Here is a 14,592-nt window from a genome sequence, read left to right on the forward strand (position 1 = left end):
TGAAGGCCCCAGCAGGGTAGCACAGCACAGGTGACTCTCCTTGCTTCAGACTGGCCAGCCCAGAGGCCTGGCAGTGCCCACTCTACACCATTGCTGGAGAGTATGCCCGAGGCCTGTCACCTTGGCAGTGCCACCTCACACAGAGGGGGAGGGGTGTTCTGGGACTGGGACCTATAGCTGGGTGCAGAAAGGCCCCATACCCACACTGGGGATTCAGGTTAGCAGAAAATGCATGGGGTAGAGCGGAGAGTGGCCACACAAACAGTCAGCCCTGGGTGGTGGCACCCCTGAAGCCACAGGACAGGGGCCGTAGGAACCTGTCCTCCTGGTTTCATCTATACATCCGACTGCTATCTACTGAGCTATGCTGGGTGCTGGGGCTTCTATGATGAGAAACCCGTGGTCTCTCCCTGGCTCTCTTGGTGCTCACAGTTTTGTAGGGAAGACAGTCATCCAGCCACTGAGGAAGTGACAATCATTGAATTCAGGGTGGGGGGACTGCGTAGAGAGAATCAGGGCCACATTGAGCATCATGAAAACAGTGTGAAAGAAGGATGGCTCTTCAGGGTGAGACCTGTTGAGGTGCTGTGGGGGAATCCTCTGAGGGCAGGAAATGCCTGGCCACTTCCGGCACGGAGAGAGCTTTGTGTCCATGCCCTGAAGCTGGGCTGGGGTAGATAGGGTGTTTGTGCCCCTCATGACAGGGGGAGTTGCTCTGGGTCTGACAGGTCCAGGGATGACGCCAGGCTTGGGGCTTCCAGGGGTGCTCTTGTGGGTGCAGCCCCATTAGTAGGGCAGGCAGGCCCCAGGCAATGGCTCCAGTTCAGGGCCGGGGCAAAGCAGACATTGCCAGCTGCTCACACAGGGTGTGCCAACATAGCCATGGGAACGCTAAAACATATCCAGCTACTCTCATCAGGAATCCTTGGAATTGCTCTAGGCATCTGAGAGTGAAAAAAAGATTTAAAAATTGGCCTCAGTGGGGCAAGGTAGAAAGTGCCATGGTTTTGGAGTTGGGACACCTGTGTTCCCTGTTAGGGAGACCTTGGGTAAAGTGTCTGGTCTTTCAAGCCTCACCTATTTCCTGTGAGAAATGCGATGATAAAATGACTGGGTGCAAGGATCAAATCTCTGTAAGGTGTGAGAAAAGAGGTAGTCAACTCATGGTTCACCCTTCCCCACTGTCAGCCCTGCGCCTCTGCTGGGGGCACGTGTAGTGGGCTGTGCTGGTCAGGGGCTGAGAAGGACAAGGCGAGCTTGACGCTGGTGTTGGTGGGGAAAGTATGGAGCTGAGAGCAGGATGCAGAGGTCATGAACTATACAGGGGTATGAATGGGTCCCAGGATGGAGCTGGTTCAGAATAGGCAGATGGCACGTCAGATCTGGAAGGCCTAGATCCCATGCCTAGGAAGGCAGACTTTGGGCACAGCCACCAGGGTGTGGTGTGGGAGGGTGCATTCGTCCATTTTGTGTTGCTATAAAAGAATACTGGAGGCTGGGCAATTTAAAAGAAAAGAGGTTTATTTGGCTCATGGTTCTGCAGGCTGTCCAGGAGGCATGGCAGCACCTGCTTCTGGTGAGGCCTCAAGAAGCTCCTACTCATGGTGGAAGGCAAAGCAGAGCCCGTGTGTGTCATGTGGTGAGAGAAGGAGCAAGAGAGAGGGGAGGAGGGCTACCAGACTCTTTTAAACAACCAGCTCCCGAGTGAACTAACAGAGTGAGCTCTCACTCATCACGAAGTGGGGGCACCAAGCCGTTCACAAGGGAGCCGCCCCCATGATCCAACACCTCCCACTAGTCTCCACCTCCAACATTGGGAGTCACATTTCAACATGAGATTTGGAGGGGACACACATCCAAATTGTATCAAAAGGCAAGCTGACTTTAAGGGCACAAGAAGAAGGCTTTCAGAGAGCAGAGAGCTGGTGGGGGCAGAGGTGACGTTTACAGGGCCGGCCCAGCACTGCTGGCAGAGCAAGCTGATGGATATTTGGCACAAAGTCACAAAGCAGCATTTCTGTTTGGCTCTATTCGCCTGCAGAGCAAACACGGCAGATTGGAATTCCCACTTGGGCTCTCACCAACTCAAACAGGCTTGGCCAAGACCTTTAATTGATTTGCTTGGGGCAGAAGTGGCTCTGCTTACCCACGCCTGGCTGTGGAAAGCAGGACCCTCCTCACCCTCCCCCGACCCTGGGATCTAGTAGGGTTGACCCTAAATGGCTCCTTCGTCTCCAGCCTGCCAGTCTGATGGTTTGGGGGCCACAGTGGGATACAGGGGACTTGGGCCCGAGTCTCCTCCTGGTCATGCCCAAGCCCTCCCCCAGTTCTTGTGGGATGGATCTGGAATTCAAGGCTGGAGGTGTTTGGAAGGTGGCTGGATTTTCTTTTTTTAAAACTGCTTTCTGATTCCACCAGCAGGAAGCAGGCCCTGTATTGTGGAGATCGAGGCAGTGATTGAGAATGTGAATGCCCCTGTCCATTCCAACAGCCCCTAGAAATCTGATACTGGGACTCTGGAGACCGTGCCCCTTGAGGCTTTCTTCAAATGCTTTAGCACACCTCCTAGAGCAAACTGGCCTTCAACAGGTCAGGTCTGGCTCTCTGGGCATCTCTGCCTGTGTCAGGCTTTGTCCCTGGCCCCAGATGGGTCTGCTGTGTTGTCCTACAGGCCCTCAAGAGAGACGATGGTTCTGAATTCCTGACTAGGCTACTCAGAAAAGAGAGGAGGTTGTTCTGATTATAGTCACAGGGGTTGGAAAGAGGGGAAGGAGATAAATGTGACGGTGCAAAAATCTATCAACACACGGGCATCCCCACTCTTCCCCATACTGTGCTACAAAGAATTTTGTCTGTGCTTGGTCGGCCACAGGCTACACCTGCCCCAAGTTCTATGTTTGACTTTATTGTAGGCTTTGTGTGATGTGGCATTAGGAGAATGGTGGAGAGCCAGGCCTGCAGAGCTAGAGGGAAAGGGGAGTATTTTTGCTTTCTCAGCCAGCTCCTGCATTCTCCTCCATGCTGGTCAATGGGCAAAACAGAGGGAAAGTTAAAAGACCAGCGAGGTTGGATGAAAACACAACAGGGAGCCGGGAAAATGGAGGGAAGAAGGAAGCAAAATCTGAGGGCTGAGAGTCTGGGAATTGTGGACAGCAGCTATGATATAGCTGGTGGGCATGTCCTGGAGACAGGATAAAGGAGGGGGTTAAGGTTAAGTGTCCTTGTGGGTTAACAGTGGGATCCCTATGGGTGTTCTTTGAGAGAGGCAAATGATGATTGGAATTATCTAAAAATTATTTTTGGTTGCTCTACCTTTTAAAAATGAAGCCCTATGGATAGATTAGACCAGGTGGAGTCTGGGTTATATTCAGGTTATATAAAAGATCACCCTGCATAATAGAGACCTACTGGGTTAACAGTGGGAAATGCTAAGAGGGCTTTCCATGGACTGAGCCCTTAGCTGGGATCAGGGGCCTCCAGGTGAAGCATACCAGAGGGTGGTGGCACCAGGTATGACTGTCTTCTTGCAAGATGAAACTAAAGTATCAGAAGGGAAGTGTGGAAGAAACCAGAAGGTGATGAAGAGCCTGTTTCAAAACTCTTGGGAAACTACAGAGTGACTGGGACCTGTGTGAACTGGTGATGGGACCATGGTGGTGTTCTCGCAGCAGCGGAACCTCGCTGCCCTCCAACTTGGCATTTGGGGAACACTGCCCCTGACTTCTTCTCTCTCCAGTGCTACTTCGATCCCTGGGATCAGGGCCTGAGATAAAAAGAACTCTTCAAAACTTGACGTTGGAGCTGGGCATGGTGGCTCACACCTGTAATCCCAGCTGCTCAGGAGGCTGAGCTGGGAGGAGTTTGGGGCCAGGAGTTTGAAACCAGCCAGGGCAACATAGTGAGACCCCGTCTCTAAAATGTAAAAAAAAGAAAAAGAAAAAAAACTTGATGCTGGCCCAGAGAAGGAGGGATCCAAACAGAGGTCAGGCCAGAGCTTCAACGGCACAGCCTGTTCTCCTTACTGACTGTGGAAATACTGCCTTCTGTTTTGCCAGTATTTCTGTTTATAAGATTTTTTCACATGTATGACTTCAATCACATAACAACACTTATTCCCATTAAACAGGTGGCAAAACTAAGGTTCAAAGAGGTGATGTAACCTACCCAAGGTTGTACAACTAAGGGGGAAGAACCAGGATTCACAACCAAGTGTGTCTGGCTCTTTAGCCACTGCTATGGTGCCACACAACAATCTTCCAAGGAATTGTTGTCCCCTTTTATAGGCAGGCAAGCCAGCACTCAGACTCACTGGGCCAAGGTTATCATTAAAGGGCAGAGTCAGTATTTGAACACAGGCCCCTCTGCTCTACTGCCTCATAGCAACCTTATTCTTTCTTACTGAAGCAGCTATTTTTTCAACTTTAAGAACCAAGCCATGATTCCCTTCTGAGAGGGGCCTAACTCTGAGAAGGGGGCGGTGGTTGCACAGACGGGTCTTGGTTGGCCAGTGAGTTCACTGGCACCTTCTCACTGCTTGGTCCAGGCTCTGAAGTCTGCTGGCCCTGGGAGCCCCGGGAGCCGGGAGATTGGGAGGACAGCAGGAAGAAATCAGTGTGTGCAGAAAGGGTGGTGACTGCGGCGTCTAATCAGGAAATTACAGCCTGGGCAGAGAGAGAGGTTTGGCTTGACATCGCCTTTCCCTGGGCTTCAGTACAGCAGGCCCACATGGTGGAGGCTTGGCTGCAGATGGGATGTGCTAAGCAGGCGTGAGCAGGTCACAGCAGGCAGGATGCACCAGCCTGGTCGGTGTCCGGATGCCCACAAGGCTGGCCCTCTAGGGTGGCGACTTGCAGGCAGTTTCCTCTGCCTGCCCTTGCACCCACTCATAACTCGATCAGCAGGAGTGGCAGCTGTGGGCATCTGGAAGGGGTGCCTTGAGAGACTCTTGGCTGGAGTTTTTTATCTGACCCTTGAAAAGGCAAGTGGAAAAGGAGAGAAAACATTATCAGGTGGAAAAAGCTAGCTGCAGAACTATACATATGCGACACCATCTGCATTAAAATGAAAAAGAAAAGGGAGAAATAAATAAAACACCACACATAAAGTGGCAGTGAGAGGTTTTTTTTTTTCTCTTTTAGGTGGCAAAGATGATAGACAAAACCTAGGATCGGGCCGGGCGCGGTGGCTCAGGCCTGTAATCCCAGCACTTTGGGAGGCTGAGGTGGGCGGATCACGAGGTCAGGAGTTCAAGACCAGCCTGGCCAATATGGCGAAACCCCGTCTCTACTAAAAAAAAAATACAAAAATTAGCTGGGCATGGTGGCACGCGCCTGTAGTCCCAGCTACTCGGGAGGCTGAGGCAGAAGAATTGCTTGAACCCGGGAGGCGGAGGTTGCAGTGCGCCGAGATTGCACCACTACACTCCAGCCTGGGCAACAGAGTGAGACTCTGTCTCAAAAAACAAAAACGAACAAGCAAAAAACCTAGGATAGGCCTGGGTGTGGAGAATGGACACCCTTGTCCACTTTTGGCAATGCAAGTAAGTGTGGCCTTCTCATAAGACAATGTGGATTAGATTTTATATGTGTGCTTCTAGGACCCAATCATTCTACTTCTTGAAATTATCCCAAGGAGCTAAATAAATGTCAAATGCACAGAGACACATGGATAAGGATGTTTACTGTGGCTTGTTATAATAGGAATATAAGGAATCACCTAAATGCTCATTGGTGAGGAACTGGCTATATTATTATGAATCCATATTTGTGGCCATTAAAAGTAATGATTTCTTGATAAGAAAAGATGTTCTTGATATTTTATTGAGTGAAAAACGTGGCTTTCTAGAGCAGCATGGGATCTGGCATCCTTTAAGTAATAGTGAGTGAGCATATAGAATGAGCATATAGACATTATGTCTGATGAAGGACATCTGCAAGGATAATCATAAAAATATTCATAGTGGTTTGGGGGATCTCGACTTTTGTCCTCACACTTTTTTGAACTTTTTGAATTTTAAGAATGAGTGTGTATTTTATGATCAGGAAAAACAACAGTTTTTACCTTGAAAACATTGTATGTGTGTCCCTGTGGTAGGTGGAAGGGCATTCTCTGCAGAAGGAACCAAATGCACAAAGGAAAGATGGCAGGAGCTCCGTGAGGGTTAAGGGAGTGCCGAGGTCAGTGTGGCTGCAGCCTGTGCTGTGGGGTGAGGGGTGGGGGGACTGGAGGCTAGGGCAGTAGACTGGAGCCAGATCCTGAGGGGCTCACATGCTCAGCGGGGCAGTTTGGCCTTTAAGGGATGGGAATCGTGGTAAGCAAAGCAGTGACCTGGCTGGATTTCATTCCCACTGCCTCTGAGGGTGGCTGTATCCCCCTCACTTGGCATCTAAGGCTCCTCTATTCTCTCTATTCTGTCTCTCCTTCCTCTTCCCATGCCTCCCAGGCCAGGGATCCTCTTTGCCTGGCTCAGTCTCACCTCTACTCCTGCATACCCATCCCAGTTCTGCCTGTCTTTTAAGGCTGAGTACCAGGCTCCCTCTAACAGGAAGCTTTCCCAGATTGCTCCCATTAGCCTTGATTTCTCCTTTCTCATGCTGTCACCCTTGACCTTTTGTATCCTACTTTGTATCAGACCTTAATTCCTCTACCCATAGATATTTATTTTCGTAGCACCAGCTGGGGAGGGCTGTGGACTGCAGGGTCGTCCCTGACACCTGGATGCCAGTGATCAGCCTGCCTGAGATATGCCAGCTTTAGAATCCTGATGGAGGGAGGGAGGAGGAGGGCAGCAAAGAGACCCAGCAGTTATTTTATGCCTATCTGTCACAGGCACAGTGCCAAACACCATATGTAACTTTTCACATTTTCCCCACTTTACAGATGAGGAAACAAGCTCAGAGAAGTTCTGTGGCAGTGAATGAGTGGTGGTGCTGTGAGTTAAACCCAGGCTCTGCCTAACTCCAAAGTTCGTGCTCTTAACCTCCATGATCTTGTCTCTGGCCCTCATTTCCCCACCACACCCGGAGGTAGGCTGGGCTGGGTGGGCTGAGGCAGGGTCTTCCTAGGCCTTGCTGGCCAGAGCAGGAGGCTGGTGAAAGCCCAGGACTTAAGGGACTTCAGAGGGGGACGTGGTTCCCTCTCACCCAAGGGGGAGCTCTTGACCTGCTGGAGGATCTGGGGCAGTGTAGCATCCCTGCTGGGGGCTTGGAAGTGCCACTACCCCCAAGGAAGCAAAGCAAGAGGCTTCCCTGGGGAACCTGTCTGGAGGGGAGGGAGGTTGGACATGTTGGTCAAGAAAGAGCGTCTTCACTCAGAAATCCTCCAGCAGTACGAGGTCAGTGAGATGAAAATGAGTAATTTTGTGCTTCTGAAGCAACAACCTACTTGACAGCAATATTTAATGGTCATATCCAGGGTCTTTTCAAACCCTGACAGGAAATCCCAAGAGGTAGGCAGGTGGGGCCAATGCCCGCTTGACAGAGGGTTACTGGGGTTCTGTGAGGTGACATCATGCCCTGGGAAGAGCCCAGCTCACGGGCTAGGATTTGGGCTTCTGGACTCCCCGAGGGGATCGTGCCCTCCTCCAGGCCCCTCCACCAGCCTGGGCTCAGTGGATATCCCTGCCTGGAGGGGCTGGGTGAGTCTCTGTGAGCCTGGGGGGCTGGGTGGGCTTCAGTTGCCCCACTGTGGGCTCTGGACTGTGGGAGAGTTGAGAGGCCTTGGTGGAGATAATGCCAAGCTTGGGAGAAGCCAGGGGTTCACCATGAATTGTGTGTGCCTGTACTCATTCCGGCCTTGGTGACAATAGGAATGCCAGCTTGGGGATGGAGGAAGGATCCTTGGCCACACCGTGCCTGGGGTGGGGTCTTTTGTGTAAGGGTATCCTTTATTGAGTTGCATTTACCCAGCGGGAGAGAGGTGTGCGTGTGTGTGTGTGCGCCTGTGTGGGCATGTGTGTGCACAAAGAGGCTGGAGTCTGGGTGGTGATGCGCATCCATCCCAGTGTGTCCTGGAAAGTTCCCAGATAGGCCACAGGAGGGAACGGTTTGGGGAAACCCTTGCTGGGCCCCGCCACAGCCTGGCAGGTGGTGAAGTGGCCAGCCACTTTGTGGCTACGATGCCTTAGAGAGTTTGCCAAGCACTTTCTGTGAAGTCATTGGGATGTTAAACCCTTGGTTCAATTAAATGGGTTAATAAGCATTGTCTGATTTTGATGAGGAATAATAATATAATGTGATAATAGCAATAATGGTGCTATTAGCTGCGATTATTACACGTGCTGCACTGTCCCAGGCATGGAGGGGGGGCGGCTTGCATTCCCGCATGCTCAGGCCGCATTTTCCACTCATAAAACCCCATTCTTCAAAGTCTTTCCAGCCCAACTCCCGATATCCATTTTCAGGACAAATTACCAACACTTAAAAAAAATTGGTCCATTTTGCGTGAAAGCCAAGTTCAAATTACTGTTACTTTCCCCTTTATGTTGGAAACTTAAAAAAGGATAGGGGTGGGAGCTGAGGGGGACACAGGGGACAGATACAGGAGGCGAGGCAGAGGAGGGGGAAAGAGAGAGAACGGTGTATGGATGAAGAAGAAAAAAGCGAGCCTTCTTGTTTCAGTAAAAATGTATTTCTGGAATGATGTTTCAGTTTACTCAGGCAGAAAAATTAGAAATGGTGTGCTTATTAAACAGGCTAAGTAAGCATGACTATTTTTAGTAGTGTAGTAAAACCTTGGTAATTTGGACCTCTTTAATAAAGATTCCATGATCATGGTGGCTGGCAGGCACACACTGTGTGTGTGTGTGTTGTGTGTGTGTCAGGGCAAGGTAGGGGTGCAGATCGGTTGCTGAGTTGGAGGCTGGGGAGCGGGGAGGGTGCAAGAAGGGACGGAAGGAAAAGGGAAGGACTCCCTCTTAGGAGAACCTGCTTCAAACACTGAACTCTTTTGCTTAGTAATCAAAGATCGTTATAAATTCTTCTCACTGAACACTTTTATTGGCACCTACTAGTATGACATCTGTTCAAAGAAGAATGTATTTGAAAACAAAAGTTTCATTTCTGTAAAAATCTGTAAAAGTTTACTTGATAGCTGTCATACTGGCCTCCCTCAAATGAGGCTGCATCCCAGGTAGGTGATGACTGGCACCTCAGTGGGAGGACAGGGGCAGTGGGCGGAAGGCTATTCCCTGTCCTGCGGGTCACAGGGTTTTGTATTTTTAAAATAATCATTATTTTATTTCATCATTGCAAAACTGATACATTGTCAGTGCAAAAAGACCTTGAAAGGAACAAATTTAAAAAATGCTCATTTTCCCCGTCAGAGGTAGGTGTTATTAACACTTTGTACATATCCATAAATTTCTCTGTGCATATATAAGAACAAAAATGGCACTGTGCTTAAGACTGTTTTGTTACTTGCCTTGTTTAGCTTTTTTGACAGAGAAGCTCGGTTAAGAAAAAGGGCAATAGTGAATCTATATTTAATTTTATGCCAAACTTACAAAGAAAAGTCATGCATCCCGGGTTGCTCTTTCTTGGCCACATAGTAGACGCTAGATAAAGGAAGTGTCCTTAATGGGGTCCCACTGCTATGCTGCATAGAAAGATGAAGAGTCAGGATGAGGGCCATGCAAGGGGTCAGCTATTGTTGGGGCCTCCAAGGGGCTGCTGGTCGAAGAGGATTCTAGGGAAAGGTTTGCCAAACAGTGAACACAGCCCCTGGGAGTCCTGGGAACCAGCCTCTAAATGCCTCTCTGGGTAACGAAGGGCATAAACACAGATATACTTTTGGAATAAAATTGAGGTAAAAATATACATAACATAAAATTTACCACTTTAACCTTTTAAGCTGTACAGTTCAATGGCATTAAGTACATTCACATTGTTATGCAACCATCACCACCATCCATCTCCAGAGCTTTTTCATCCTTCCTGAGACTCTGTACCCATTAAACAGTAGCTCCCCTTTTCCCATCCCTCAGCCCTTGGCAGCCACCATTCTATTTTCTATGATTTCACCTCTTCTAGGAACTTCATGTAAGTGTAATCACAATCTTTGTCCTTTCGTGACTGGCTTATTTCACTTATCACAATGTATTCAAGGTTCATCCATGTTGTAGTTGTGTCAGAATTTACTTTTTAAGGCTGAATAATATTCCACCATATGTATACACCACATTTTGTTTATCCATTCATCTGCTGATGGGCACTGGGGTTGCTACCACTTTTTGGCTATTGCGATAAACATGTTTTAGCTACTGCTGTGAACGTGGGTATGCAAATATCTCTCTGAGCCTCTGCTTTCATTTATTTTTGAGTATATACCCAGAAGAGAACTTACTGATCATATGGTAATTCCATGTTTAATTTTTTTGAGGAATCATCATACTGTTATTTTTTTGTTGTTGCTGTTTGTTTGTTTGTTTTTGACAGACTCTCACTCTGTTGCCCAGGCTGGAGTGCAGTGGCATGATCTTGGCTCACTGCAACCTCCAACTCCTGGGTTCAAGCGATTCTCCTGCCTCAGCCTCCTGAGTAGCTGGGACTACAAGCATGTGCCACCATGCCCAGCTAATTTTTTTGTAGTTTTAGTAGAGACAGGGTTTCACCATGTTGGTCAGGCTGGTCTCAAACTCCTGACCTCAAATGATCTGCCCACCCTGGCCTCCCAAAGTGTTGGGATTACAGGCGTGAGCCACCGCGCCTGGTCCATCGTACTGTTTTCTGTAGTGGCTGTTCCATTTTACATTCCCAGAAGCAATGCACAAGGGTCCCAATTTCTCCGCATCCTTGCCAACACTTGTTATTTTCTTTTTTGATAATAGTCATCCTGATGGGTGTGAGGCGCTATCTCATTGTGGTTTTGATTTGCATTTTCCTAATAACTAGCAATGTTGAGCCTCTTTTCATGTGCTTATTGGTCATTTGTATATCTTGTTTGGAGAAATGTCTATTCAAGCCCTTTGCCCATTTTTGAATTTGTTTTTTTTATTGTTCAGAAACACTTTTAAAAGCGGTGCCAAGAGCTGCCTGTGCTGAAAAGGAGTGAGCGAGTGAGTGGCAGAAGGGAAGATGCAAGAGAGAGGACACAAAGGAGTGCAGAGAGGGGGAAAGGGTCAAGATTTGTTTTGTGGAATGTGGGGGTGAGGGAGGGCCTTCCCTCAATTCTTTTTTTTTTTTTTTTCTTTTTTAGATGGCGTCTTGCACTGTCGCCCAGGCTGGAGTGCAGTGGCACTATCTTGGCTCACTGCAAGCTCCGCATCCCGGGTTCACGCCATTCTCCTGCCTCAGCCTGCTGAGTAGCTGGGACTACAGGCACCTGTGACCACACCCAGCTAATATTTTTTTTTTGTATTTTTAGTAGAGACGGAGTTTCACCGTGTTAGCCAGAATGGTCTCGATCTCCTGACCTCGTGATCCACCCGCCTCAGCCTCCTAAAGTGCCTCAATTCTTTTATTCAACAAATATTTATTGAGCATCTACTATGTGCAGACACTTCTGAGGGGTTGCTGTCTATACCTGTTTGACTCAGTTCACCATGCTGGCTGTCTGACTACACTGATCCTGTTCAGCTGCCAGGGCCAGCCTCTGGGAGGCAGTGCTTATAGTCACAGCCCATTGACTCTGCAGTCAGGCTAGGGATTGAGTCCCTAAAGTGGTGTGGTACAGCTTAGGACAGGTTACATGACCTCTTTGAGCTCCCCATTTCCCATTTATAAAATGAAGCTAATAAGAGAAATGAAACATGTCAAGTGCAGTGGGGGACAGCACAGAGTGAGACATATGCCTCAGCCAGCCACAGCAGCTTTCATCCCCTGTGAGGGCCAGCCTGCCCTCTGCCTCCTCCCTGCTCCACAAGCAGCTTCCTGCACCCTGACCTGCTCCTCAGCAGTGGTCTGATTCATGGAATTGCAGCCCCTCCAGCCAGGGCTCCAGTGGCCCTCTCTCGTGAGTGCTCTGCAGCTGCTTGACAGGTAGAGGTAGACACCTGCCCTGGGCAGTACCAGCCAGTCAGGAGGCAGGACCCAGGAACCTGCAAAAGCAACGTGGGAGTGTGAAGAGTGGGGTTCCCCTGATGGGAGAGGCAAGGAGGCAGGGACCAGCAGGGGCTGGGGGGGTGGCCTCAGGGTTGGGGGGGGTCTCCCCATCTCGGAAACAGGAAACTTGTAATCCGGACTGACGTGGGAGCTTGGATTTTGTGATTGAGAATTCAGGGCCCTTTCTTCACCAAAAAGCTGCTCTGTGCCTCTGTCTGCCCCTACCCCAGGGCTTCCTCTGTCCCTGATACCTGTACGCTTTGCTGCTGTCACATAGCCCGGAGCTTAGGAGGGCAAATCCTAGGGCCTGGGGCCTTTTCAGTCTCAGTCCTGGAGCCCAGCTGAGTCTAGCTTCTTGAAGAGAATTCTAATTTTTTATTTCCTTTCCCTCCTGAATACAAATGTGATTCATGTAAGGGTAATGTACAGCACAGTGGGTGCGAGCGCAGGCCCTGGTCAGAGGGTCTGAGTTCAGGTGCTGCCTCTACCCCTCATTAGCTGCCTGTGCCATGTTGGGCAAGTTACTGATTCCCTTTGAGCTTCAGTTTCTTCCCGTGAAAAATAAGGATAACAAATCCCTCCCTCATGAAATTGCTCTGAGGAGCTTGCTGGGGCCTGGCGCTCAGGAAGAGCCTGCTGTTAGCTACTCATAACATGATATGCAAACAAAAAGAAGTGTCCAGGCATCCTTGCCCCATGGTGCTGGGCGCCCCCAGAAGAGCATGCTGGGGTGAGTACCCCTGCTTCGCCCCCTGCCCCGCGTCCTGTCCCTGCTCATCTCTTAGGGTATTGACTGGGCTCTGCCTCTCCCCAGAGGCCAGGTAGGTGGCAGGAATTGGGTCTGGTTCCTCTCCCAGGGCCTGGCCCACAAAAGATTGGTGGGGAGATTGTACCACAGGACAATAGGCTGGGTGATCGAGGGCCCAGAATCTAGGATAGTTCCTGGGGTGGGGTGGGGGTGTGGCCAGGAAGACTGTCAATCATGACTCATATTCAGGACACCCTGCAGAGGTGGGGACGGAAAGCTGAGCTGGGAAAATCCCAAATGACGTCTAAAGTGACCTGTTGAGAAATTTTGACAGGTAAGTCCTAATAATGCAGAAAGCGGGGAATAGGACCTCAAGAGGAGAACCAGGGCATTTCACTTTAATAAAAGAATAGCAATACCAGCCTCACAGGGCTGCGTGCAGGTAAAGGGGCTCATGAATGAGGAGTGTACACTTAGCTTGGGGCTTGGGGCCTTGTGTTGGTTCAGTCAGCATTGGAGCTTGGTACTGAACATAGGGATGGAGCCACCTCCCCAGAAGGGCCTTGCCTGACCACCTGGTTTAAAGTGAGACCCCCTTTACTCTCACAGCATCCTGTTGTTTTTCAGCCTAGGTTGTAATTACACACGTCTATTTACTTGTCCAGCAGAGCGGGGGCTGCGTCTGTTTCCACTGCTCCATCCTAGCACTGACAGCAGGGGCACAGTCAATGTTGAATGAATGGCGGTCTCCTCCCCGTCTTCTTCAGGCAAAGCTGGCTAGGAATTCTGCCTTTTTTTTTTTTTTTCCAGAGGATTGGGCTTTCAGAGCCCCCTACAGTCTCTAGCCCCCTTCAGAGATGACCCTGCAGCCGGAGCAGCGGGGAAGGTCTGCATGCTGTAGTCTCTGCCAGCCACAGATGGGTGGGAACAGCTGGGAGGGGCCTGCAGCTGGGTCTTTCACTCACCTGCTTGGCCACAGTCCTTGATGGATGACGGGGTCATTCTGGGACTACTTCTGCCCTTCGACCCGTCTGCAGCTGTTTGGCCTGTGGCCCCACAGATACACTGCATCTCCACCTGAGCCCTGTGTGGCTCCCCTTGCACCTGGTGCTAGACCTGACTTTCGGGACAGGCTTCCTTTTTGCTCTTCACTTTCCTCCAGCCCGCCTCCTTCTAGGTCTCCCCTGACTCCTGCCCTCAGCTGAGACCAGGGCCCTCTGGCCTTGGCAGATGCGTGAGGCTGAGGGAGGCCCTGAGTCCAGATGTGGTTGTGTTTATGTTCCCAGAGAGTGAGGGGTCGGAGCTCTGGACTGGAGCCGCTGGGGGAGGGGTGGTCTGGCTCCAACACCCTGCCCTATTCCACCCCCACCCCCACTAGCCTGTGTATCTGGCCCTGTCCATCTCAGAGCTCCACACTCCAGGTCTCACAGCATCAGGCTGACCATCCTCCAGGGAGGACCTCTCTTCATTCCTCATCTGAAGGTGAGAAAACCAGTGGAAAGATGCCTGGCTTTGGAATTAAAAAACCTACTGGCTCAGTGTGACCTTGGCCCAGCTACAGAGCCTTGGTTCCATCTGTAAAATAGGGACAACACTCCTGACCTCAAAGGCTGTGTTGACCTGGCTTGAGAATGTGTGCACAGGGCTCTCCAGCTGTCAGCTCGTGACTAGGCCTGTGGCTGTGCCCTACTCCTAGCTAGGGCTTGCCTGGGTCCAGGGCAGTGCCAACCCCCATCATAAGGTGATTCTAAAGCAGAATATCAACCCCTCCTTCCTCCCCCACTGCAGCTGCAAACATTTTGTTTT

At 50.2% G+C, this 14,592-nt stretch overlaps 3 annotated features.

Annotated features, from left to right (window-relative positions):
• Positions 12,553 to 13,752: an enhancer, noted in NCBI's record as "P300/CBP strongly-dependent group 1 enhancer chr5:134360625-134361824 (GRCh37/hg19 assembly coordinates)". NCBI's record gives its function as "activates an origin of replication core promoter dependent on BRD2, BRD4, P300/CBP, MED14 and CDK7 cofactors, with strong dependence on P300/CBP, by STARR-seq in HCT116 cells {active_cell/tissue: HCT116}" and the evidence as "EXISTENCE:reporter gene assay evidence [ECO:0000049][PMID:35650434]".
• Positions 12,713 to 13,172: a silencer, noted in NCBI's record as "fragment chr5:134360785-134361244 (GRCh37/hg19 assembly coordinates)". NCBI's record gives its function as "represses an EF-1alpha promoter that drives an FKBP-Casp9 reporter gene in an ReSE screen in HepG2 liver carcinoma cells {active_cell/tissue: HepG2}" and the evidence as "EXISTENCE:reporter gene assay evidence [ECO:0000049][PMID:32094911]".
• Positions 13,965 to 14,554: an enhancer, noted in NCBI's record as "H3K4me1 hESC enhancer chr5:134362037-134362626 (GRCh37/hg19 assembly coordinates)". NCBI's record gives its function as "activates a minimal SCP1, AML or CMV promoter by ChIP-STARR-seq in naive H9 embryonic stem cells {active_cell/tissue: H9 hESC(naive)}" and the evidence as "EXISTENCE:reporter gene assay evidence [ECO:0000049][PMID:30033119]".

This window comes from Homo sapiens, chromosome 5 (assembly GCF_000001405.40).
Source record: "Homo sapiens chromosome 5, GRCh38.p14 Primary Assembly".
NCBI classification, from domain to species: Eukaryota; Metazoa; Chordata; class Mammalia; order Primates; family Hominidae; genus Homo; species Homo sapiens.